General features: G+C 45.3%; 1 protein-coding gene and 2 long non-coding RNA genes across 9 annotated transcripts in view, besides 4 other annotated features; 1 reads left to right on the forward strand and 2 right to left on the reverse strand.

Annotated features, from left to right (window-relative positions):
• The window catches only part of LOC105377578 (uncharacterized), a 33,621-nt gene extending 20,317 nt beyond the window's left edge, over positions 1-13,304 (reverse strand). For all 3 annotated transcript variants that reach the window (XR_001741938.2, XR_007058410.1, XR_939537.2), the window contains exon 1: positions 13,088-13,304. This is a non-coding gene — a long non-coding RNA (uncharacterized LOC105377578). The remainder of the gene's footprint in view (positions 1-13,087) is intronic.
• Positions 15,560-15,854: a silencer, noted in NCBI's record as "tiled region #10146; K562 Repressive DNase unmatched - State 23:Low". NCBI's record gives its function as "represses a minimal TATA promoter and a strong SV40 promoter by Sharpr-MPRA in K562 cells {active_cell/tissue: K562}" and the evidence as "EXISTENCE:reporter gene assay evidence [ECO:0000049][PMID:27701403]".
• Positions 17,280-17,574: an enhancer, noted in NCBI's record as "tiled region #13144; HepG2 Activating non-DNase unmatched - State 6:EnhF, and K562 Activating DNase matched - State 9:DNaseU". NCBI's record gives its function as "activates a minimal TATA promoter and a strong SV40 promoter by Sharpr-MPRA in HepG2 and K562 cells {active_cell/tissue: HepG2 | K562}" and the evidence as "EXISTENCE:reporter gene assay evidence [ECO:0000049][PMID:27701403]".
• On the reverse strand, positions 17,925-20,103 carry WWC2-AS2 (WWC2 antisense RNA 2). Its single transcript, NR_024008.1, has one exon. It is a non-coding gene; the product is annotated as a WWC2 antisense RNA 2 (long non-coding RNA).
• Positions 18,920-19,214: an enhancer, noted in NCBI's record as "tiled region #7903; HepG2 Activating non-DNase unmatched - State 1:Tss". NCBI's record gives its function as "activates a minimal TATA promoter and a strong SV40 promoter by Sharpr-MPRA in HepG2 cells {active_cell/tissue: HepG2}" and the evidence as "EXISTENCE:reporter gene assay evidence [ECO:0000049][PMID:27701403]".
• Positions 18,920-19,214: a silencer, noted in NCBI's record as "tiled region #7903; K562 Repressive non-DNase unmatched - State 2:TssF". NCBI's record gives its function as "represses a minimal TATA promoter and a strong SV40 promoter by Sharpr-MPRA in K562 cells {active_cell/tissue: K562}" and the evidence as "EXISTENCE:reporter gene assay evidence [ECO:0000049][PMID:27701403]".
• Positions 20,161-26,424, forward strand: part of WWC2 (WW and C2 domain containing 2) — a 221,521-nt gene continuing 215,257 nt past the window's right edge. For all 5 annotated transcript variants that reach the window (NM_001410864.1, NM_024949.6, XM_024454225.2 and 2 more), the window contains exon 1: positions 20,161-20,526. In NM_001410864.1, coding sequence (NP_001397793.1) covers positions 20,396-20,526 — 131 coding nt within the window. In that variant the 5' untranslated portion in view covers positions 20,161-20,395. The remainder of the gene's footprint in view (positions 20,527-26,424) is intronic.

Below are 26,424 nucleotides of genomic sequence, written 5' to 3' on the forward strand. Positions count from 1 at the left end.
GTAAGGTCAAACTACTTAAAAACATCCTTTTTTTTTTTTTTCTTTTTGAGACAGAGTCTCGCTCTGTCGCCCAGGCTGGAGTGCAGTGGCACGATGTCGGCTCACTGCAAGCTCCGCCTCCCGTGTTCACGCCATTCTCCTGCCTCAGCCTCCCGAGTAGCTGGAACCACAGGCGCCCGCCACCACGCCCAACTAACTTTTTTGTATTTTTAGTAGAGACGGGGTTTCACCATGTTAGCCAGGATGGTCTCGATCTCCTGACCTTGTGATCCGCCCGCCTCGGCCTCCCAAAGTGCTGGGATTACAGGCGTGAGCCACCATGCCCAGCCTCTTGTCTTCTTTTTTTGAGTCTGAGTCTCACTCTGTCACCCAAGCTGGAGTATAATGCTGCAATCTCCACCCACTGCAACCTTCGCCTCCTGGGTTCAAGCAGCTCTCCTGCCTCAGCCTCCTGAGTAGCTGGGATTACAGGTGCGTGCCACCATGCCCAGCTAATTTTTGTGTTTTTAGTAGAGACGGGGTTTCACCATGTTAGCCAGGCTGGTCTCGAACTCCTGACCTCAGGTGATCTGCCCACCTCGGCCTCCCAAAGTGCTGGGATTACAGGCATGAGCCACCGCGCCCGGCCAAAAGCATACTTTTTTTTTTTGGCCATGAAAATGCAAATTTCATGTTGGGGAAGGAGATAAACAGAAAGAGATGGCAAAGACAGACAAGACTGTTAGAGGGCAGAAGATGGAGAAGCAGCAGGAGCCAGGAAAGTGAACTAATTCTGACTGTCACCTGATGTCAGACACATTGTCTCAGTGCTCACTGCGATTCTGTGAGGTGGGCGCTTTTGCTCCTATGCAACGCATAAGAAGATGGGAACGCAAAGTAAAATGACTGTGAGGGTCACCCACTAGTAAGCAGTGCAGCCAGGAATCCCGCAAGATCTGTCTGACCCCAAAGCCCAGGCTTTTTCCCTAGGCTACTATAGTTTCGCCTAGTGCTCCTAAGAAAAGTTGTGGGGCACACATACACTAGAAGAAATACAACCAGAAGAGAAATGAGAAAAGGGAATACAACACACACATTTATACATATCTCCAAATTTATGCCTGGGGATATTGCTGTCTCCGTGTCATTCAAAGAAAAAGAAGTGAGAAGGGAGAGAATTCTGTAGATTCTGGAATAATAGTTCAGCTCTCTAGCTGCATCTTTCCATGTACCAGGGTTGTGGGATTCAGGGTTCCACCCATTCCTATTCTTCATAGTTCAACAGCTCTTTATACCTGCACGTGAAGGGTCCTGGTTCTGGACACTTGCAGAGACATTCAGGCAGGGGAGTTACTGATTCCCAATGAAGCCAGGGTAGCAAAGACATTCACACCCCAGGAACCCTTAAATGGAAACAAAAGCTCAACTAGGCTGACAGGTAGGAGGCTGCATCACCCCTTTGCAGCTTTGTAAGAAGAGTCTTCCAGCTTGCACCTTGGACTTTTCAAAACAGTCCAAGAATGTCCTCTGCCAAAAGGAAAAGACCCTGTTGTATCTCTACCATATCTCTTGTCAACACTTTTTTTTTTTATTGAGCAACCAGAGCAAAACGCTGAAGTGAACTTTGTAGCTGTTTCACTAAAAAATCAAACACTGGCCAAATTGTTTAAAAGCTAACAGTGATCAGATGGCTATGCCTTTTAACTGCATGTTTGCAAACACACATGTATATTGTCTTGTGTATACTGGCCTACAAAATCATTTTAGTTGGACAATCTTTCTACGGTTCAGTATGAATCAATATTAGTGCTGTGGTACATTTGTGTGCCTTCATTGAGTTGAACAGAAATCCACCAAGAGGTTTGGTTAATATGTGGCTCTAGTGTGTATGTCTCAGTCAAGAACATCTGAATGTGTGACTTCTCTAGGCATCGAGCCCAAATTAATTGTGGTGCTCACTCTCTCATATTTATTTTAAGTGTTTATAAATTATTATTCTGCTATTCATAATATAGACTTTAATGGGTCTGTATATAAGAATGAAAAAGCATACAGCTATGCAAATCATAATCACAATGGGAGAAAAATGGTCTTTTCATGCCTGTTAAAATTTAAGAGCCAAAACAGGAGAATTTTCTGGCCTTTATGGCTGGTCAGAGTCCATCTGTTTCATCTGCTATTTGGCTGTCTGAACGGTTGGATTTTATTTCCTCTACATCATACTGAACTTTTAAGAACAAACAAAAGACTTTTATCTGAGGATAGTACACAGATGTGTTGTGTTACATACTTAAATAGGCATTTATATGCACCTCGTTTTTATATCTGAAATAATTCGGTGAATGTTTCTTTTTTATCTTTTTTAGCATTTAATCCATGACTCTCACCAGTTCAACTAACATACTACAAAATGTCTTACGCAAAACAGCCACTCAAGAATGTTGGATGTTTAAAAGACATTGTTAGTCCAAATAAACTAGGAAAGCAAGCAAAATTATTTAGAATCAGTACTAGTAAAAGATTTTTATGTGTGTTAAAATTTTTTTCATTACTCTTATTTGTACCAAAAAGTGTAATTTCATGAGGTTTGATTATATAATACAATAAAAGTTATTATTACTAAGTATACTCTATTTCAGAATAGTCTATATGACATATATTTCTTAGCATTCATAGATTACTAGCCGCTGTTGCATAAATTGAATTTTTTTTTTTTGAGACGGAGTCTCGCTCTGTTGCCCAGGCTGGAGTATAGTGGCGCGATCTTGACTCACTGCAACCTCTGCCTTCTGGGTTCACACCATTCTCCTGCCTCAGCCTCCCAAGGAGCTAGGACTATAGGCGCCCAGCACCACTCCTGGCTAATTTTTTGTATTTTTAGTAGAGACGGGGTTTCATTGTGTTAGCCAGGATGGTCTCAATCTCTTGACCTTGTGATCAGCCCGTCTCGGCCTCCCAAAGTGCTGGGATTACAAGTGTGAGCCACCACACGCCTGGCCACATAAATTGAATTAAATCAAATTCCTATTAAGTTGGAATCATAGATCTGGAAGAAATCTCAAGACAGCAAATGATGCAGCCTCCTCCCCTAGTAGTAGACCAACTTACCTGCTATAAAAAATAATGATTGCCTTTGCACATTTCAAGATATTGCCAGGGCCAGGTGAGGTGACTCACACCTGTAATTACAGAGCTTTGGGAGGCTGAGGTGGGAGATCATTTGAGGTCAGGAATTTGAGGCAACGGTAAGCTATGATCGTGCCACTGCACTCCAGTCTAAGGGACAGAGTGAGAGCCTGTCTCAACAACAACAACAAAACAAAAACAAAAAACAACAATATCTTTAGAAAGGGGTATTTCACATCATTTGATTTCTTGTTCCAGTACGATATTTGATCTTACAGAAAAGCAGTTGTTGCTGGCTGGGCACAGTGGCTCACTCCTGTAATCCCAGCACTTGGCCCAGGAGTTTGAGACCAGCCTAAGCAACATAGGGAGACCCCGTCTCTACAAAAAAACTCAAAAATTAGCTGGGTGTGGTGGCACATGCCTGTAGGCCTAGCTACTCAAGAGGCTGAGGTGGAAGGATCGCTTGAGCCCAGGAGGTTGAGAGTTGAGGCTGCAGTCACCTGAGATCACACCACTGCACTTTAGCCTGAGCACCAGAGCAAGACCCTGTCTCAAAAAAAAAAAAAAAAAAAAAGCCGCTCACAGTGGCTCACACCTGTAATCCCAACACTTTGGGAGGCAGGTGGCCAAAATGGTGAAACCCTGTATCTACTAAAAATACAAAAATTAGCCCAGCATGGTGGTGCACGCATGTAATCCCAGCTACTCTGGAGGCTGAGGCAGGAGAATTGCTTGAACCTGGGAGGCGGAGGTTGCAGTGAGCCGAGATTGTGCCACTGCACTCCAGCCTGGGTGACAGAGCGAGAGTCTGTCTCAAAAAAAAAAAAAAGCATTTGTCTTAGCTCTATCTAAGCTATTTTTCTGTTTTTAATTCTTTACTTTGGAATATTCTGGACTTACAGAAAAGTTGTAGGATGAACCATTCACATGCATACTTTCTCCAGTCTTCCCTAATGCTAAAATCTTACAAATCTATGGTACATTTGTCAAAGTAAGAAATTAACACTAGCACATTACTGTTTACTAAATTCCACACTGTATTTGGATTTCATCAATATCTTGTTCTGTTTTAGCATCCAATCCAAAAAGCATTTAGTCATCATATCTCCTTAGTCTGCTCTGTTCTGTGACCGTTTTTCAGTCTTTCCTTGTCTTCCATGACTTGTTTTATAGAATGTTCCTCACTCTGGGTTTGTCTAATGTTTTCTGAGGATTAGGCTGGAGTTAGGGACTTCAGGGGAAGCCTATATCAGGATGAAATGCCCTTCTCATCACATCATACCAGGGGTACATGCTACCAACGTGACTTATCACTAGTAATATCAACCTCGTCGCTTAATTAGGTAGTGTTTGCCAGATTACTCCACCGTAAAGTTATTTTTCCCTACTCAATTTTTTTTTTTTGAGATGGAGTTTTGCTGTTGTCACCCAAGCTGGAGTGCAGTGGCGCAATCTCGGCTCACTGCCACCTCCACCTCCCGGGTTCAAGCAATTCTCCTGCCTCAGCCTCCCGAGTATCTGGGATTACAGGCACCCACAACCATGCCCAGCTAATTTTTGTAATTTTAGTAGAGACGAGGTTTCACCATGTTGGCCTGGCTGGTCTCAAACTCCTGACCTCAGATGATTCGCCTGCCTTAGCCTTCCAAAGTGCTGGGATTACAGGCATGAGACGCTGAGCCCGGCTCCTACTCTATTTTTAAAACATGGGTCACTAACTCCAGCCCACAACCAAGAGGGAAGGGATTAGGCTTTGTTTCATGGAGGGAGAAGTATCTACATGTATCATTTAGAAATATGTGGGGAAGATTTGTCCTTTCTCCCCATTTATTTATTTATTCATTCATTTATGTAATGCGTTTGGACTCACGTACATTTATTTTGTTTTGGGTTATAATCTATGATGGTTATTATTGAGCGTCAACTTGATTGGATTGAGGGATGCAAAGTATTGTTTCTGGGTGTGTCTGTGAGGGTGTTGCCAAAGGAGATTAACATTTGAGTCAGTGGACTTGGAGAGGCGGACCCACCCTCAATCTGAGTGTGCACCATCTAATCAGCTGCCAGCACTGGTAGAACAAAGCAGGCAGGAGAAGTTGGGAGGACTTGATTGGCTGAGTCTTCCAGCCTTCATCTTTTTCCCATGCTGGATGCTTCCCACCCTCAAACATCAGACTCCAAGTTCTTCAGCTTTTGGACTCTTTGACCTACACCAGTGATTTGCCAGGGGCTCTCAGGCCTTCGGCCACAGACTGAAGGCTGCACTGTCAGCTTCTCTACTTTTGAGGTTTTGGGATTCCAACTGGCTTCCTTGCTCCTCAGCTTGCAGATGGCCTATTGTGGGGCTTCGCCTTGTAACTATATGAGTTAATACTCCTTAATAAACTCCCCTTTATATATACATCTATCCTATTAGTCCTGTTCTTCTACAGAACCCTGATTAATACATAATCCAATTCTGTGTATTTATTTTGTTGCTCAAAATTGTGTCAGCTTTGATCATTATAGACTTTTTAAAGATGACTCCTGTGTGACTTTGATGCACCCTCCTTGTTTTGTTTCTTGGGCACTTCCTTACTCTGAGCCTGCAAGATTCCCAGGCTCACCTTGTATTTTCCCTCCTCTATCTCTAGAATCAAATCAGCCATTTTTCCAAGGACCCCTGATTTCTTTTATTAGAGAATGGTATTTAGCAACCAAGATCTGGGTGCTGGGTATCCTCCTTATGACTGGAGTGGCATTGCTTCTAAACCTAGGAACACAAGCTCAGAAACTCATGTGTCTATGCTAACCCAAGCATATACACACATATCTCATTTTCTGTCTGTCTGTCTGTCTGTCTATCTATCTATCTATCTATCTATCTATCCATCCATGCATGAGTTCATACCCATGTCTCCAACCTAATCCTGTATGACAGGACACTTCCCTCTTGCTTATTTGTATTTTTTTTTTTTGAGACGGAGTCTCGCTGTCGCCCAGGCTGGAGTGCAGTGGCGCGATCTTGGCCCCCAGGGTTCACGCCATTCTCCTGCCTCAGCCTCCTGAGTAGCTGGGACTACAGGCGCCTGCCACCACGCCCGGCTAATTTTTTGTATTTTTAGTAGAGACAGGGTTTCACTGTGTTAGCCAGGATGGTCTCGATCTCCTGACCTCGTGATCCGCCCGCCTCAGCCTCCCAAAGTGCTGGGATTACAAGCGTGAGCCACCGCGCCCGGCCGCTTATTTGTACTTTCTTTCTGTGTTAGTGAGAACCCTGGCTCAGGTCTACCTAAACTTTTGCCAGTAATAATCACTAGGTTTTGAATGGAGACAGAAAGTAAGGAGACAATGTGCCCTCTTCATAATCGTGCATATTAACCACTGCTCCACTGCGATATGGCTAGGAACACAGACACTGAAGCTCGTCCCTTGGGTTTCATCCCGGCATTGTCATTTAATGGCTGTGTGATCTTCGGTAAATGACTTAAACTATCTGTGCCTCAGTTTCTTCTCCTCTCAAAAAAGAGTCATAATAATGAATATCCCATAGGGCTGAAGGGAGAATTGAAGAAGTTTACACAAGTAAACACTTCAGAGCAGTGCCCGTCTCATGCTAAGTGCTCAAGAATTAACTTTAGAAACAAGTTTATACCAAAAGATTTATTTGACTGAAATATCAACAGCCAACAGGGGCCTGACAAATTAAAATTTTAAGAGTGTTTGTATATATTATTTATAAATCAATATAATAAATAAAGAAAAATAGACCAGGCTCAGTGGCTCACGCCTGTAATCTCAGCACTTTGGGAGGCCAAGGTGGGAGGATTACTTTAGCCCAGAAGTTTGAGACCAGTCGGGGCAACATGGCGAGACCCCATTTCTACCAAAAAATAGAAATAAATAAATAAATAAACAAAACAGCCAGGCGTGGTAGCCTGCACCTGTAGTCCCAGCTACTTGGGAGCCCGAAGTGGGAGGATCTTATGAGCCCAAGAAGTGGAGGTTGCCGTGAGCCGAGATCATGCCACTGTACTCTAGCCTGGGTGACAGAGAGAAACAGTCTCAAAAAATAAAATTAAATTAAAAAAGTAAAAATATCTGAAACAGCCTTGACAAAGGTACAAAAGTTATGTTCTGAATCTATCATTCACACATATGTCATTTGAGTGTTATAGCTACTCTGTTTGTCTGTATCCAGCCTGCACTATTTTCTTTAAAGTCCAGGGTTATTGCACTATTTTCTTTAAAGTTTCATGGCTATAGGTCCCTAATTAAATAAAGTTTGTAAAGTTGGGCAAAATCAAAATATTGTAGAATGGAAGAGAATATTCAGAGTCAATCAGGGCAGTTTTTTATACATTAAATGTATAAAACCCATTTAATCAGTAATGTGGAACTTGCTCAAGAGAAGCTCAAGGTCATTGTTAAACACACAGACTCTCATTCCTTTCCTTGGAGAGTCTGAGGTAATAAATCTGAGCCTGGGAATAAGAATTTTATTTTTTATTTTATTTTATTTCATTTTATTTATTTATTTATTTTTTTGAGATGGAGTCTCATTCTGTCACCCAGGCTGGAGTGCAGTGGTGCAACTTGGCTCACTGCAACCTCTGCCTCCCAGGTTCACGCCATTCTCCTGCCTCAGCCTCCCGAGTAGCTGGGACTATAGGCGCCCGCCACCACGCCCGGCTAATTTTTGTATTTTTAGTAGAGACGGGGTTTCACTATATTGGTCAGGCTGGTCTCGAACTCCTGCCCTCTTGATCCACCCACCTCGGCCTCCCAAAGTGCTGCGATTACAGGTGTGAGCCACCACGCCCGGCCTTATTTTATTTCATTTTTTAGAGAAGGGGTCTTGCTTTGTTGCCCAGGCTGGTCTTAAACTCTGGACCTGAAGCAATCCTCCTGCCTCAGCCTCCCAAAGTGTGGGATTACAGGTGTGAGCCACTGTGCCTGGCCATGAATCAGAATTTTATTTTTATGTATTTATTTTGAGGCAGGGTCTGTTTCTGTTGCCCATGCTGGAGTGCAGTGGTATGATCACAGCTCACTGCAACCTCAACCCCCTGAGCTCAAGTGATACTCCCACCTCAGCCTCTCAAATAGCTGGAAACACAGGTGTGTGTTCCCACCCCTGGCTAATTTTTGTATATTTTTTTAGAGACAGGGTATCACCATGTTGCCCAGCCTGGTCTCAAGCTCTTGGGCTCAAGTGATCCAACTTCCTCGGCCTCCCAAAGTGCTGGGATTACAAGTATGAGCCACTGTGCCTGGCCTGAATCAAAATTTTAAACAAGAGTTCCAAGTAATGCCCATCAGGCAAATTCCGAAAAACTGATTTAATCCAGATCCTGATTAATATGAGAAAACTGAGGCCCAGAGGAAAGACAATCTACCTCTCCAATGTTCATTAAGCATCTACTTCTATAGGGCATTACGGAAGTACAATGGGAATACATCAAAAGGTTTGGGACAATGCATTGCGATGCATTTCTGGTGGACTATAAATTGGTACAATCTTTTGGGCAGACAGTTGGGCGATATGTATCAAAATATTAAGTGTGCTTATCCTTTGACCCAGTAATTCCAGAAGAAAATATTTCTTAGAGTTTTCATTCAGACCACCTGAATCAGAACCACCCAGGGTTCCTGCTGAGGATGTAGATTTCAATGTCTCAGATCAACTGAACTAGAATCTCTGGGAGTGGGACCTGGCATTCTGCATTTTAACAAGTTCATCAAGAAATTCTGGCTGGGTGTGGTGGCTCATCATTATTATCTCAGCCCTTTGAGAAGTCGAGGTGGGAGAATCACTTGAGGTCAGGAATTTGAGACCAACCTGGTCAACATAATAAGACCCCTTTTTTTTAATAAGAAAAATTAGCCAGGCATGGTGGCACATGCTTGTAGTCCCAGCTTCTCTGGAGGCTGAGGCAGGAGGATCACTTGAGCCCAGGAGTTTGAGGATACAGTGAGCATTGATCATGTCACTGCTCTCCAGCCTGGATGATACAGTGAGACCCTGTCTCAAAAAAAAAAAACAAAAAAACAAAAAAACAAAAAAACCCCACCAAACTAAAGGAGAGACTTATGTTCACTAATTTGTAAGAAATGCTTCCCTAACAAAGGGAAGCAGAGGGAGAGTCCTGAGCTCAAGCGATCTTCCTACTTCAGCTTCCTGAATAGCTGGGACTATAGGTATTCGCCAACATGCCCAGCCAATTTTTTATTTTTATTTTTTTATTTTTTATTTTATTTTATTTTTTTGAGAAGGAGTCTCACTCTGCCCCCCAGGCTGGAGTGCAGTGGCACGATCTCGGCTCACTGCAAGCTCCGCCTCCTGGGTTCATGCCATTCTCCTGCCTCAGCCTCCCGAGTAGCCAGGACTACAGGTGTCCGCCACCATGCCCAGCTAATTTTTTTTGTATTTTTAGTAGAGACGGGGTTTCACTGTGTTAGCCAGGATGGTCTCGATCTCCTGACCTCGTGATCCGCCTGCCTTGGCCTCCCAAAGTGCTGGGATTACAGGCGTGAGCCACCGCGCCCGGCCTAATTTTTTATTTTTTATGGAGAAGAGGTCTCACTATGTTGCCCAGGCTGGTCGCAAACTCCTGGGATCCTTCCACCTCAGCCTCCCAAAGTAGTGAGATTACAGATGTGAGCCACTGCACCCAGTCTGGATAATTTATAATGAACAAAAACTTATTTGGCTCATGGTTCTGGAGGCTGGAAAGTCCAAGATTGGGAGGCTGCAGCTGATAAGGGCCTTCCTGCTGCATCATCACATGGCAGAATATATGGCATCACAAAGAAGCATGCACAGGAGACAGAGGAAAACTGGGCTGAAATCCCATGATAATTAACCCACCCTGACTATAACGGCATTAATTCATTCATGGAGCAGGGCCCTCATGACCTAATCACTTCTTAAAGGGCCCACCTCAGTACCATTGACATGAGTTTTGGAGGGGATGTTTAAACCACAGCACAGGGCAAAAAGGGCTACACAGAGGGGCAGCTGGGCATGGGGTATTAGAGCCCAAGAGGGATCCGAAAAATGTCCACAGGGATGGGGAGTAAGACAAGCAGGGTGAAGATGGTGTCCCCATAGAGGAGTGTACCTTGTACCTGTGTGGGGTGTCAGAGCCCCAGAAGATGAGGAGATCATGTATATGAGAGGACAGGGGGGCCCGGTATGGGTGCTAAGAGAGGGTGCCTGTGCAAGCGGGTGGCCTGTACGAGGTATGGGAGCCTACTGAGGGGGTTGGCCAGGTGTGAGGTGTGGAGGCCTGAAGGTACAAGAAGGGCATCTCCTTGGGGAGGGGGCAGTGGCAGCCTCAGGAGATTGGCTATGTTCAGGGTGTTGACTAAATACATAAGTATTTTAAATTTAAGGAGAGTCAGGTTTCTCACTGTTGTAGAAGAGAGTTCTGAATATGGAAGGGAAACTGTATTACTTTGTTTAAATGCTGCTGATAAAGACATACCCAAGACTGAGCAATTTACTAAAGGAAGAGGCTTATTGAACTTACAATTCCACCTGGCTGGGGAGGCCTCACAATCATGGCATAAGGTGAAAGGCACATCTCACATGGTGGCAGACAAAGGAAGAGAGCTTGTGCAGGGAAACTCTTGTTTTTAAAGCCATCAGATCTTGTGAGACTCATTCACTATCACAAGAACAGTACAGGGAAGACCTGCCCCCATAATTCAATCACCTCCCACCAGGTTCCTTCCATGACACGTGGGAATTGTGGGAATTACAATTTAAGATGAGATTTGGATGGGGACACAGCCAAACCACATCATAAAGCTAGAATGAATGCCAAGATGTTGGATTTGAATGGAAGGAATTTGGTGAACTTGTGGTTTTCAATAGGTAGATAGATACTATGTACCTAGACAGTGTCTAAACTCCGTCTACTAAGAGGGTGACACTCCAATAGCAATGAGTTCTCCTGGAAGCCCAGATCTAACTACCTTTTCCCACTAAAGGGAACTGGGGCCCTTGGAGAGATGACCTACTCCAGCTCTGGAATAGGGAAATCATAAGACGGCCAGAACATCTTCTCATGTCAGAAGACAAGGAAGTGCTCAAAGAATGTGGGAGCCATGTTAAAGGACATAGGAGCCAGCTTGTGGCCAAAGGAGTTCCCACTGGCCAAATCTAAGACCATTTGAGCATGATTAAACAGTGATAGTGTAGTTTTCAGGAGCTGGGGAGAGAGAGGAATGCAGTTAGTATTGATAGGTATAGAGTTTCAGTTGCAGAAGATGAAAAAGTTCTGGAAATGGATGATGATGATCATTGTACAACAGTGTGAATGTACTTAATGCCCCTGAATTGTACACTTAAAAATGGTTTAAAAAATAATTTTGTTATGCACATGTTATGAGAATTTTTTAAATGATGGCAATAGAGTATAACATACTAAATAAAAGAATAATCCATGAGTCCTGCTGTGGACTGAATTGTGTGCCACCCCCCTGCAATTTATATGTTGAAGCCATAACCTCCCAGTGTGGTGGTATTTGGAATAAGAAAGTAATTAAGGGTGAATGAGCTCATAACGGTGGGGCCCTGATCTAATAGGATTAGTATCCTTATAAGAGAAGACACCAGAGAGCTTTCTTTTTCTTTGTGTCATGTGAAGACACAATGAGAAGGCGGCTGTCTAAAAGCCAGGGAATGAGCCCTCACAGGAACTAAATCTGCCAGCACCTCAATCTTGGGCTTCCCAGTCTCCAGAACTTCAAGAACATAAATTTCTGCTTTTTAGGCCACCCAGTCAACAGTATTTTGTTATGTCAGTCCAAGCTAAGACAAGCCCCTAATGATTTTTTTGTTTTGAGACAGAGTCTCACTCTGTTGCCCAGGCTGGAGTGCAGTGGCGTGATCTCAGCTCACTGCAACCTCCACCTGCCGGGTTCAAGCAATTCTCCTCCTTCAGCCTCCCGAGTGGCTGGGATTATGGGCATGCACCACCACATCCTGCTAATTTTTGTATTTTGAGTAGAGGTGGGGTTTCTCCATGTTGGCCAGTCTGGCCTCGAACTCCTGACCTCAAGTGATCCACCAACCTCAGCTTCCCAAAGTGCTGGGATTACAGGCATAAGCCACCACACCCAGTGCCCCAATGATTAAAAAAAATAGTAATAATGGCAGGAAGGGATAGGAAAGGTCTCCCCACATAAAGATGCTGGCTCAAAAATGTAGAAGAAATCCTGCCGTTTTGGAGCTATCAATGTAATAATTAATTCAAGCATGGATCTTCAATGGATGTCAAATCCAATGAATGAAAGATTTGATGAGGAAGAGGATATCCATAGTTTTACCGTACCATCCCCACAGACAGTTAGTTATTAATTGCAGAGGGAAAAGACGCCTTTAAAATGGTGTCAGATACACCTGTCAGGTACCACTTAATGATCAAATTTAGTATCACCAATGATGAGACAAAACTGACATTACGTACTTTTCAATGTGATGGAGGGAGAAGTATACAACCTCCCCATAAAGTTTTCTTAACAAAAATGCGAACCTGAATCTAATGAGGAAATACTCTAAAACCAAATTGTGGGATATTGGCCTAGATTCTATGTCGTTGTCATGAAATATTTTTTTTTAAGGAGGTGAATGATCAAGATTAAAGGAGACTGAAGAGATATGACAACCAAGCTTAATGTGATGAACTTGCCCAGATCCTGTTTTACACAAACAGACAAAAAATAGTTACAGGGGGTGTCTTGAGGCAATGGAGGAGATTTTAATATGAGCTCTATATTAGTCTGTTGTCATACTGCTATAAAGAATATATAGCCTGGGTAATTTATAAAGCAAACAGGTTTAATCGGCTCATGGTTCTGCAGGCTGTATAGGAAGCATGGCTGGGGAGGCCTCAGGAAACTTATTGATTATGGAAAAAGGTGAAGGGGAGGCAGGCATGTCTTACGTGGCCAGAACAGAAGAGAGGGAGAAGGGAGGGGTGCCACACACCTTTACACGACCAGATCTCATGACGACAGCTCACTCACTATCACCAGAACAGTACTCAGAGGAAACGCGCCCCCATGATCCAGTCACCTCCTGCCAGGCCCCAGCTCCTGGAAATTACAATTCAACATCAGATATGGGCGGGGACACAAATCCAAACCATAATCAGCTGTATACTAGATAATATTTGCTGTATCAATTTTAATTTCTTAGGTTTGATAATATTGTAGTTATAGGCCGGGCACGGTGGCTCACGCTTGTAATCCTAGCACTTTCGGAGGCTGAGGTGGGTGGATCACCTGAGGTCAGGAGTTTGAGACCAGCCTGGCCATTATGGTGAAACCCCGTTATCTACTAAAAATACAAAAATTAGCTGGGCATAGTGGCAGGCGCCTGTAATTCCAGCTACTCAGGAAGCTGAGGCAGGAGAATCGCTTGAACCCGGGAGGCAGAGGTTGCAGTGAGCCAAGATCATGCCATTGCACTCCAGCCTGGGTAACAGAGTGAGACTCCATCTAAAAAAAAAAATTATGGTTATATAGGAGAATGGCCTTATTTTCAGTATTGAAGTATTTAGAAGTCAGGTGTCATGATGTCTATAATTTATTTTCAAATTGTTGAGCAAAAAAACCTACATCTCCATAGAGAGAAATAAAAGCAATGTGGTGAAATGGCAATCTCTCCTGGTGAATCTGGAACACAGATACATAGGTACTCATTTTATTATTGTTTCAAAGTTTCAACAATTTTCACATTTTTCAAATGAAAAAGAGTCTAACTCTCTGGGATGTGTCTCAAGAAATACATAGGTCAGATTTCTTACTTATTTTTTATTTTATTTTATTTATTTATTTATTTTTGAGACGGAATCTCGCTCTGTTGCCCAGGCTGGAGTGCAGTGCACGATCTCGGCTCACTGCAAGCTCTGCCTCCTGGGTTCACACCATTCTCCTGCCTCAGCCTCTGGAGTAGCTGGGACTACATGAGCCTGCCACCACGCCTGGCTAATTTTTGTATTTTTAGTAAACATGAGGTTTCACCCTCTTGCCCAGGCTGGACTTGAACTCGTGAGCTCAAGTGATCCTCCCACCTTGGCCTTCCAAAGTGCTGGGATTACAGGCATGAGACACCATGCCCGGCCCAATCCTGTCTTTTAAAGAAGGTATTTTCCAGACTATAAAGTTGGAACAGAAAAAAAGGATGCAAATTAAAGATGGTCAAAGGAAAACAGAATCTCATATTATTTCATTACATAAGAAATAATGTAAGCCGGATGCGGTGGCTCATGCTGTTATCCCAGCACTTTGGGAGGCTGAGACAGGAGGATTGCTTGAGGCAAGAAGTTCGAGACCAGCCTGGGCAACATAGTGAGATCCCCATCTCTATTTTTTATATAATTAAAAAAAATAAAAGAAAAAAAGTACATGAATTATTCACCCTAAAGCCCTACCCTACAGAGAATACAAGAGGTGCCCTCTGAGACCCTCATATGTATAAAAACGTGGTATTTGAGCTTCTGCTTCTTTTTGCTAATGAGACAGATACTTTAAATGTTCACTTCTTTTTTTTTTTTTCTAGCAACCACAAAATTTGCCCAATGTCGGTCTCCTACCTGCAGTAAATAAGGTAAAACAGAATCTGTTTGATGTTCCTTATTATTAAATGGGAATGACTTTTTGCCTAAGGTGTTGGTGTAATCATTAACTGCAAGGGAAGTGGTTATGGTAATTGAGGATTCTGGTTTGACCCAGCTGTGGGAATTTTTTTTTCTTTTTTTCTTTTTTGTTCTTTTTTTTTTTTTTTTGAGACAGGGTCTCGCTGTGTTGCCCAGACCGGAGTGCAGTGGTGCAATCTTGGCTCACTGCAACATCCACCTCCCAGGCTCAAGCAATTCTCCTGCCTCAGCCTCTCGAATAGCTGGGATTACAGGCATGCGCCACCACACCTGGCTAATTTTTGTATTTTTAGTAGAGATGGGGTTTCACTATGTTGGCCAGGCTAGTCTCGAATTCCTGACCTCAAATGATCTACCCGCCTCAGCCTCCTGAAGTGCTGGGATTACAGGAGTGAGCCACCACGCTTGGCCAGCAGTGGGAATTTTTAAAGATCACATGCCTTTCTTCTTAAGGACTGTCTAGACAATAAAATTTAGAATTGCGGCTTGGGGTTACCTAATCACAATAATTAGAGATATTTGTTTTAACCAGTTCAGTTGCCAAGAAAAAAAATGCCACTAGTTTGATTAAGAAACAAAGCACATTCTTTTATTTAGAATTTGAAAAGTGTATAATCCCTGATCTCCTTGAAGAAACAAGGGATATTAAAATATTGAAAACCAGTTCATCTTGTCCTACACAGAGCTGACTCACTAGCATAGTGAAGACGGTTCATACACTAACAACTAATTCTTACACACATAACTGAAAATGTAGACCACATTGTACAAAGAAATAAAATTATATCAAATTGTGGAAGGCCAAAAATAGGATTATAGATGGCTTACTTAATTCTATTTGACTTGCACTGATGTTTCCCTCCCAAGGTTCACTCCTGCATACTCAGTTCTCTACAGACTTTTAGATGATAGACATTCAGCCATATATTTGCAGTCCTGACCTTTGCTTCGAGCTTTAGTCCTGACCTTTAACTTTCTGCTGGGTATCTCTAATTTCTAAAGTCAACTGCATCTCAGATCCCCCTTTGGACTTCCTCATTTTTTCCAGCCCTTTGACAGTCTAAAATCTTGGATTCACCTCAGATTCCTCCTTCTAGCTTATTTGCCTCTCTCTTCTTAATCTAATCAGTTGCAAATTCTTGCCAAACCATTTCTTTTCATCCTTCATTGCCTTATTTCTGATCCAGACCTTATCTGTCTCATACCTGTACTATCACAACAGCCTCCTAACTGGATGCCTCCAGCCAGTCTTGGGCTCTTTCGTGCTAGCTTCATCTTTGAACTTTGCACACCCGTTTCTTTCCTCAAACATGCCCCGCCACGCCTGTCCATTTTAAACTCATGTCTATGCTCATCTCTCCCCATCCTTTTTCTTTAATGATTATTTACCTCATGATACTTCTCTGATGGATCTCCCTGACAGCACTAATCCTCTATAAGAATTTCCTTCCTTTACTATCTGTGTTCTTCCTTTGACAGGAAGGAAGTGTACAGGAGGCTGTGTTCTTTACATTTTATGATTGGCCCCATCTCCAGAACTGACTAGATTGTAACGCCACTGAACTTAGCCAGCCAAGTGTCTTTTTGCACCTTGCTTTTTTTCACTTAACATATACTGGAGATCTCTCCTTACCAGCACATATATGTTTATCTAATGCTTTTAAAATGCTTGCTAACTATGGATAATTCATAATTTATTTAATTAGTCCCTTACCGATGGCTACTGGTGGTTTTTCTGGCTTTGTTATTATCAAACATGCTTCAGTGAATATCCTTGTATATCTTGAGCAACTTTAATGTCACAGGAAAATAATTGTACTGGGATTGCTGGATTAAAGGGGTGTGTGTGTGTGTGTGTGTGTGTGTGTGTGTGTTTACATATAAACATTTTTTTTAAGAGGTAGGGTCTCCTTATGTTGCCCAGGCTGGAATGCAGTGGCTATTCAAAGGCACGGTTATAGTGCCTTGAACTCCTAGCCTCAAGTGATCTTCTTGCCTCAGCCTCCTGAGCAGCTGGGACTATAGGTGTGCTTGATATATTTTATTTTTATTTTATTTTTTTTAGATGGAGTATTGCTCTGTTGCCCAGGCTGGAGTGCAGTGGCAGGATCTCGGCCCACTGCAACCTCCGCCTCCCAGGTTCAAGCGATTCTCCTGCCTCAGCCTCCCGAGTAGCTGGGATTACAGCTGCCTGCCACCACACCTGACTAATTTTTGTATTTTTTAGCACAGACGGGGTTTTGCCATGTTGGCCGGGCTGGTCTCGAACCCCTGACCTCAGGTGATCCGCCCACCTCAGCCTCCCAAAGTGCTGAGATTACAGGCGTGAACCACCACGCCCGGCCCACCTGATATCTTTTAAATTTGTACATAATAGAATTATCTTTTAAAATAATTTTCACTGTCTACTCCCATTTTTGATATTACCAATTTTCCTGCCACTCAAGATTAGGACATTGACAGTGGGAGCTTTGTTTATGGTGGCTTATCCCCACGGATTTAGCGCTGGAGAGAAAACGTAAAGCTAGGAGAAAAGAACATTTTGAAAGCCACAGAATAGGCTCTTCAGCGGCTAGAACACGGTTCCAGGCTAGGGCAATATGGCGTCCTGTACACCGGATTGCATCATCTTTCTTTGCCAAGGATCATCTGGAGCTCAAATCAAATCTAAATGTGTCCACCTCTAAAATGGGGATAATCTTCATGTTTCTTTTCCTTTTACAGATATAAATGCAATTTCATTGTCTTGACCGTTAGGAATTCTCTGAAGGTCTGTTACTACGTAAATTGTGTGAACTCCGAACAGCAGAGTTCAAACTTGATCAGAACAAAAAAGGCTAGAGAGTGGCAACTCTCCTTTCCGTCATTTTAATGGCTTTTGTATGACCAAATGTTTCCTTGCCAGTCAGTGGGGAAGAAGCAGCGAGCTTGTCTCTTAATTGCTTTAGAGTTCTGTTTGTCTATTTAGCGTTTCTTTTTGAAGTCTGAAGATTTATGGAACAATAAACGTCATTTAATGCTGCGTGCTATTTTGGATTCCTCACTGGTTTTAGAATTTGGGTAAAACTACTTAGCTGAAAGTTTAACAAATTTGAAATTACAAGTATTGTAGAATAGTTCATCTCAGTGACATAAAATTACGGCAGCAGCAAAGTGTGTTACTTTGGTTTTTTTTTTTTAATAGTAAGATGTAGACATTTTAGTATAACAAATGTTTTCAAGTTGTTTGGGAAATAAATAAGCTAGGAAGCAAGGTTTAAATAAGAATGGTTTGGTTTGGTGCTGAATGATGTTGTTAGTACACCGCAATTCAAGTGTTGGCTATGCATTTGGGCCAATTTAGGGAAGTCCAAAACAACGCACATTCGCTCAGTAGTGTGAGAGATTAATTGTAGGCAGGTCCCATCTTTTTTACAGTATTCAAACGTTCAACCTTAAGACCCCACCAGGGCGTCTCATTCCACCGGGAACTAGAGAAGCTTGACTTGTGTGATCACCTCCTGATGAATGGACTGGGGCGGAACACAGATCCGGAGGTGGGGGCTTCTCTTCACCAAGCGCAAAGCCTACCTTCCAGAAGGCTGGCTGCACAAGCGGCCGCCCTAAATGCGGTCAAAGCGGGCAAATTCGCCGTGGGTGCCTTCCTTCCCTACCTCCGGCCCACTCTGGTTGCTCCTTCCCAGGTGCTCCAAGCTCTCCAGAGTTTCTGGTGGTTTAAAGTTTCCGCTTCACGCCCAGACTGCTCTAAGGGCAAACACGACCCCTTTCCTCTTCTAGGACCCCTTCCGTGAAGTCTGTTCCAACCCTGAGCCTCTCCACCTTCGAGATTGGCCGCAGATGCCCCGACGGGATGGCCTGGGGAGCCGAAAGCTGTCCCCAGCCCCGGACAGCTACTGCCCACGCCGCGCAGGCCAGCCTCACACAGTAGCGAATCTCCTTCACGCGACTTCCTCGCAGGCCTGTGAACCCGCAGGGGAGGCGGAGGTCGGTTCAAACCCTGCGAGAGCCCCTGCCCAGCGCGGAGTCCTGCACACGGTGGAAAGTCCTTACGCATTAGCGGGCAGGATTAAACGACTTCACACCACGAGGTGCAAGACTGGGCTTCGGGGCCTTCCTCGGTGTTGCTATTTTAAAAGAAGCTGCTCAGTAACCCAGAAGAAGATGACGGGGGACGGTGGTGTAGACCCGGCTGGAGAGGAGTCCAGGGCCTGGGAGGCGCCCCCTCTGACTGAGGGGCTGGGGACCCTGAAGCTTGGCGTCCAGGCCCCGCCAGCGCTGCACCCGGCATTGTCCCGCCTGGGGCAGGCGTCCGGTCCCTCGGCAGTGCGGGCCAGCACGTACGTAGTAGCTGCTGAATAAATAAATGCCTATGCAACAGGGAACGTCCCGGCCCACCCCGGCCGGGCCAGGGCCTAGGAAGGGCGGGCGTCCGGCGCCGCCGTGGGTCCCTCCGGCGTGGCCGCCCACACCTCCTGGCCACGGCGGGGCTGCGGTGGGGGGACATCCTGGGGCGGGCGGCTGGACGGAAGGGACTAGAGTCGGGGCGCGTCCACGGCCAACCGCCCCGAACCAAGCAGGGGAGGCCAGGGACCAGGAGCTTCCGGGGCCCCGCGGCTGGAGCGCCCGGACGCGAAGGGGCGGCGGGTGACGGGGCGCGGTGCGGGCGGCTACAGGGCCGGACGGGAGTTCCTCCGCTTTCCGCCGCGCGGCTCGCGGTCTCAGCCGAGGTCATCGAGGGCCAGGAGCCCTGGCGGAGGCCCCGCCGTCCCGGACCCACCGACGCACTCCCAGGGCTTGGCGCTTTCCCACCACCCCGGACCGCCCTTGGGGTGCCGGAGGGGCTCGGGGCGCGGCGTGGGGAGCCTTTGTGCCCTCTCCGCTTGTTGAGGTTTTTTCTCCGGAGGAGAGCTCCCCGCCCGCCACCCCTTTCCTCTCGAAAGTTTTGTGGTTTCCCTAGAAGACGAAAGAGGTTGAGAAGGTTGCGGAGACTTTTGCAATCTTCCCCGTCCAGAAACTCTAAAACCTCTCGGCGTTTGGCCCAGGGGAGCTATCTGGGGTCAAGGGGAGGGAGCTGGCCGCACATTCCTTCGCCCGCCTTCCTCCCACCTGGAGCCGCGGCCCCGCGGGGCAGTGCGTCCGAGCTGGTGCGGCGACGCCGGCAGCGGCGGGGTTAAGCTCAGGAATGCGGCGCGAGGAATGCGCATGCAGATGAGGCGGGCGGGCGCATGCTAATCGCATGCAAATGAGGGGCCCGCCGCTGCCGCGGCAGCGCCGCAGCTTCCCGGATCCGAGCCCAGACGGCGGCGGCTCCGGCAGCCTGGGCGCCGCGACCCTCGGCGGCCAGAGGGGGACGGGGCGGAGGAGGAGGAAGAGGCGGAGGCAGCGGCGGCGAGGGGGAGGAGGGTTCGCTCGCCGGCTCCGACGCAGACATGGTGGACTGATCCGCAGCGGGGCCGCGAACAGCGTTTCCTGAGGCACCTCCCGCGCGTGGTTCCGCCGCGCCCCGCGCCCTGCGCCCCTCAGCCCCTCGCCGGCGCCCGCGTCGCGGGTTGGCAGCCTAGCCCGGCAGCCGCGTTCCCGCCGCGTCCCGCGCCCGGTACCTATGGAGGCGCCGCTCGCCGGCGAGGCCGCCGACCATGCCTAGGAGGGCCGGGAGCGGTCAGCTGCCGCTGCCCCGGGGCTGGGAGGAGGCCAGGGACTACGACGGCAAGGTCTTCTACATTGACCACAACACCAGGAGGACCAGCTGGATCGACCCCCGGGACAGGTGGGCGCCGGCCGCGGGGGCGCGGGCCCGTTCGGACACGGCGGCTGTTGTCCCGGAGACCCGGCCGCGCGGGGGGCTGGGGCGGCGCCGGCCCGCGGTGCCCCGAGGGGTCCCGGGAGGGATGTGGGGCTGGCTGCTCCGGCGGGGCCGAGGAGCCGCCCGTACCCGGGCTCCTCCGCCCACCGGCTTCCCGACGCCCCTCCGGGGACCCGGCCCCGAGGCAAGGCTGGAGTCGCTGCCCCGGGCCGACGCCGCGCGCCAGGCTAACGGACCCGAGGGGCCACCTGAGCCCTGTTAGGAACTTCCCTAGGCTTCGAGGTGCCCACGTGGAGGCTGCAGGACACCTTCGGCCTCTGGGCGGCGGGGGTGGGCTAGGGCCTCACTGCCAGTTGGGGAACGAGCCCTCCGGGCCACCTGTGGCATCCCTCAGGCCGTCCTTGGCGCGGGAGCCTGGGCTGCGAGCTCTTGGCGGGGGCGCCCAGACTGGCCGGAGGTCCCGAGCTGGGAAGGGGCTCCCGCCCCCCGCCGGGCCCTGCTAGTGGGTGTGACTGACTTTGCCCCTCAGAGTTTAAAAACGCGCGTTTGGGGGTTTCGCTGTCTGTCGTTAGTCTTCACCTGAAAACTTGAACCGACTCCCAGATCGGGAACAGGCATATTGTGTTTGGAAGGGAGATGTAGTGAAATTAACGTTGGGTATTGAGGCACTCTGATTTGAGCTTAGCCTGGTTTCTTTGTTTTTTGTTTTTTAAATTGGTTCAGGAACTGAAGGTTCACAAATGTTTCTGTGTCCCATATTTTTTTTACCCTTAAAATTTCTTAGAATTATTGTAAGAATAATAGGAGGTATTCCTAATTATAAATTTGTAAATTATCCATTAAGGAGATATTCCTAATTGTAAATTTAAATAACGTGCCACCAGGGATAACTTCGACATTTGGACTTTTGTCATTTCTGAAAATTATAACTTTATTGAATGTGGCCCTTTGGGCTTTATATACTTTTTAGGTGCTTCTCCTATTTAACATTTTCCCTTTTCTCAATTTGAAGCTGAAATACCTAACTACTTTATAATCTCAGTTACTTTTGCCCTAAAAATGTTGTTTTTGAAAGCTACTAAAAGGCAATTACAAGAAAGTTATAAATAACATTATAAATTTATGGAACAATCCTTGTTCAATTATCCGTGAAGCTACGGGCCTAGGTTTCCCTCCTGAAATGAGAAAAGGCACCTGTGCTGAGGTTCGGTCTTGCCGCAGCCTGGCTGCCTGTTGCTGGCCTGATGAAAATTGTGACAGGCATCACACCTTCCCAGTGTCTCCAGACGTGCTAGTTGTTGTCATAAACTTCACGCTCCAAGCCAGTTATTTGACTTATGCTATTGCACTTTGAAACTACTTAACAGATAGTAAATGTCAGTGCTGATGGTGTGCACCCAACTGCGGCTTTTAAGGCACCTGTATAAATATTTGACTTTTACAGTTGTGTGGTAATTCTTTCTGCTTTCTGATACTTGGAGTTTCAGGTAATTGAAATAACAATAAATTCTTGAAATATTTAGGCATTCTAGGTTCTCTTCTTCGGTTTACATGCTTTACTATATTATCTCAGTTGTGTTTACCGGAAAGGATTACAAGAATATGTAATGTCTGGGTAAAGTAAATAGAAAGTGGAGTGAAATTATATGACTTGGCTATCCATATCACTACTTTTTTCACAAGTCAAGCATGTCCTTTATTTTAAACTCTTAATGGATTAGTAATTATTATGAACTATTTTCAGGAAACTGGATAAACAATTCATTGGATAGGGACAAATAGTTTTGACTAAGATAGCTTTTTATTTTTCCAATTTTCCTTGCAGCTGTTAGGTCTTAAATATTCAGAGACATAAATTTGACGACTTACAAATATTTCTGGATCTCAGAGTTTTAAAAGATACTCTGTTGAGATCAGAGTCACCATTATATACTCAGTTTAAATTTGATTATATTTTCTTTTAGGGCAATTAAGTGACTAAATCTTACTAAATAGAGTAAGAGCTGATGGGAACGTATATTTGGAGTAACTATTAACTCCTGTCAGTTTTGTTACACACTTACCAAACATATGGAAAGAGAGATGTTACACAGGCCAATAGGAGTGTGTGGATTCTTCTGCAGGATCAACTTACAAATTCTGAAAGAAAAACAACTTGATATACTATGGGTCTGCAGTACTTTTGAACTGTTTAAGCCATTTAATTAGAATGGTCACGATGATTTACCTTGCATATTTTTTATGTTATTCTGTTAAGGAAAAGAATTTTGTGTTTTTGATAGTCTATCAGAATTTGTTGAATATTTCTGATTATACAGATAATTATGCCGATTTAGTAGGGGAGGCTAGGGCATTTTATAAGAACATAATTTCATTCAACAGGTAGTCATGCCAGAATGCTGAAGCATTATTCTAAAATGCTTTTAAGCTTTTGGAGGTGAATGACGTCATTCAAACTTTGCTGGGATGTGATCAAAGCTTTTATTGCTCCACTTCTTACTTTTATTGACTAAGTTTACGTGAGTTTCTGAATCCCTCTAAACCTCCATTTTTCAGCTCTAAAATGAGGATAATATCATCTTCTTCATAGGGGTGTTTGTGGGCTCACCATTAGGGCCCAGCCTAATTGTATTAGTGTAGTGTTGACATTCCAGTTTAGGAACTGAGTGACCCTGGAAATAGTAGAAATACTAGCATGGACAGTATTTACTCAGTGTGTATTGTGTGCTAGGCACTCTGCTAAGCTCTTTAACTGTGATCTCATTTCATTCTCCCGTTGGTCCTGTGAGGTAGGTACTACTGTCATCTTCCAGTTACAGATGAGGAAATTGAGTCACAGAGAAGTAGCCCTTGTTAAGTGTGGAGCTAGGATTTAAAGCCAGACAGCTTGACTCTACAGCATGTGTCCTTAATCATTCCTTTAAATTGTCTCGACGCTTGCGCATGTTCAGGGGTCTTTGGGTGGAGTGCACAGAGGGGCAGAACCTTTTTGCCCAGTGTTTATTTTTCAGGCTGAGTGACTAGGCTAATCCTGGGGAAATCTCCCTGTTTGTGATTAATTCCTTGTCCCCCTACCCTGCCTGCATGGGCCCACTCCCCGAGTGTTATTTTGTAGGTTTACCCCCTCTTCTTTTGCTCACCATGGACCCTTTTGAACATACCAGTTGGTGTTTATGGTAGGCCATAGGTCTTGGCCAAATGGCCTGGTGCTTTTTTTTTTTTTTTTTTAATTACATTCAACAAAGGAGAAAAAGGTGGGATGGATTGGCTTCATTGCCTTTTGGAGGAGTAGGGAGCTTAAGTGGGCAGGCCTCAGAGATAGGGTGGGTTGGCTTTACCAACTCCCAGTAGAATTTTGCTCATTTTCTATCCTTGGATTGAATGTTACCCAGAGATACAATGACTTTGTCTAGTTGAACTGAAAGATTTCACACCATGCAAAGTGACTTTCCATTAAAACCCACTGATAGACACTAATCTGTGGCTTATGGCAAGGGTCAGATGTTGAGCAACCTGTACCTTCTAACTGAATAAAAATAATCTTGGGGGGTGGGGAGGGTGAAAAGGGAGGAAGGGGGTGCCAGCTGGGTATATCATTGATGTCACAGTTAACTTTTGGCTCTCCACACCCGTTTGAGGCATATGACTAGGATCAGAGGAACTCTGTATTGTCTTTTTTTTTTTTTTTTTTTGAGACGGTGTTTTCGTTCTGTTGCCCAAGTTGGAGAGCAATGACGTGATCTCGGCTTACTGCGGCTCCCGGGTTCAAGCGATTCTCCTGTCTCAGCCTCCCGAGTAGCTGGGATTCCAGGCGCCTGCCACCACGCCCGGCTAATTTTTTGTATTTTTAGTAGAAATGGGGTTTCACCATGTTGGCCAGGCTGGTCTCGAACTCCTGACCTCAGGTGATCTGTCTGCCTCGGCCTCCCAAAGTGCTGGGATTACAGGCATGAACCACCGCACCTGGACTTGTGTTTCTCTTTTTTTTTTTTTTTTTTGAGACGGAGTCTTGCTGTGTCGCCAGACTGGAGTGCAGTGGTGCCATCTCGCCTCACTGCAACCTCCGCCGCCTGGGTTCAAGTGATTCTCATGCCTCAGCCTCATGAGTAGCTGGGATTACAGGCACCACCATACCCAGATAATTTTTTTGTATTTTTGGTAGAGATGGGGTTTCACCATGTTGGCCAGGATGATCTCCATCTCCTGACCTTGTGATGCGCCCACCTTGGCCTCCCAAAGTGCTGGGATTACAGGCATGAGCCACCACGCCCGGCCTGGCCTTGTCTTTCTTTCAAAGTCTAAGTAATTTCTTTTTTTTTGAGACAGAGTCTCACATTGTCGCCCAGGCTAGAGTGCAATGGCGCGATGTTGGCTCACTGCAGCCTCCACCTCCTGGGTTCAAGTGATTCTCCTGCCTCAGCCTCCCGAGTAGCTGGGATTACAGGCACCTGCCACCACGCCCAGCTAATTTTTCGTAGTTTTTTTTAGTAGAGGTGGCGTTTCATCATGTTGGCCAGGCTGGCAAATTAAGTAATTTCTATGAACCCACTGCTAGACTGTAAACTCCTGGAGTCCCCGATTGCTTATTACTGCTTTTTGAATCCTTTATACATGGTATGTTAAATAAATGTTGGTTAATTTAGTTAATGAAGACAGTTTGTTAAATTAATGAAAGAATATTAATTGAGCTACTCTCTTATTTCCAGATTCTTACTGTTGGGCTTTCAAAAAATAAACCCATAGCCACCAACAGAGACAACTGACTTTCCAGTTATATTTAAAATAATAAGAGAATTGAGCTGCTACATTTTGAGTAATAGTATAAATATGAGAATTACTTATAAGAGCAAAGAAAACAAAATGAACCTTGATAGTCTTAATCACAACTGCCATTGTCATAGACTGCTGGAATTGTTCCTCTCCAGCAGGCCCTGAGTCTGGGTGCCAAGTGGTTACTGTGAATTATTTGAGTGATTATAGTATTTGAAGTGTGGAGAGGTTGTTAAAAGAGGATTAAAAAAATCACTCTAGGAAGCACTAATTTAAAGTATGCTGTCTTCCAAAAATTCCAAAAGAAATATTCTTTTTAACACAGTTTGGTATAATGCTTGCTGGAGTGAACAGTACTATAGTTGCTTAGTATATTGGAGGGTCTAAGAGTTCTCCAGTGACATTAATAGTCCATAGCTTGCAGTGTAATTTTGTTGGAAGACTCAGGACAATAATTGCTTTTTAAATAAAATAAATATTTTATTTATTTATTTTTTGAGACAGAGTTGGCTCTGTCGCCCAGGCGGGAGTGCAGTGACACAATCTCGTCTTACTACAACCTGTGCCTCCTGAGTTCAAGTGATTCTCCTGCCTCAGCTTCCTGAGTAGCTGGGATTACAGGTGCACGCCACCCTGTACCCGGCTAATTTTTGTATTTTTAGTAGAGATGCGGTATCACCATGTTGGCCAGGCTGGTCTCAAACTCCTGACCTCAAGTTACCTGCCCGCCTTAGCCTACCAAAGTGCTGGCATACTATTATCTTTAAATATGTTATTTGTTTTGAGCTGCAAATCCCTAAGCTTCATCTACATAGTCAGCCATTGTGACATGTGGCCTTCAACAAGTTGGTATTTAAATTTAACCAGAGGAAGCCCAGGTGCACCAGGAAAAGCGTGGAAGTTGTCTGTTGGCCCACACTGCCGGGCCCTGCATTGCCTTGTAAATGGCTCTTGCTTACTTATTTTCAGTAATTGTCTGTAGGAAAATGAGATTATCACTTTAGAGGGGCATGGCCAGCTTCTTCTTGCCGATGCAGGAGTTACTAAATTAGCAGGAAACAGTGTTAGCCCTAATACACTGTGAATTCCTTA

This window comes from Homo sapiens, chromosome 4 (genome assembly GCF_000001405.40).
Source record: "Homo sapiens chromosome 4, GRCh38.p14 Primary Assembly".
NCBI classification, from domain to species: domain Eukaryota; kingdom Metazoa; phylum Chordata; class Mammalia; order Primates; family Hominidae; genus Homo; species Homo sapiens.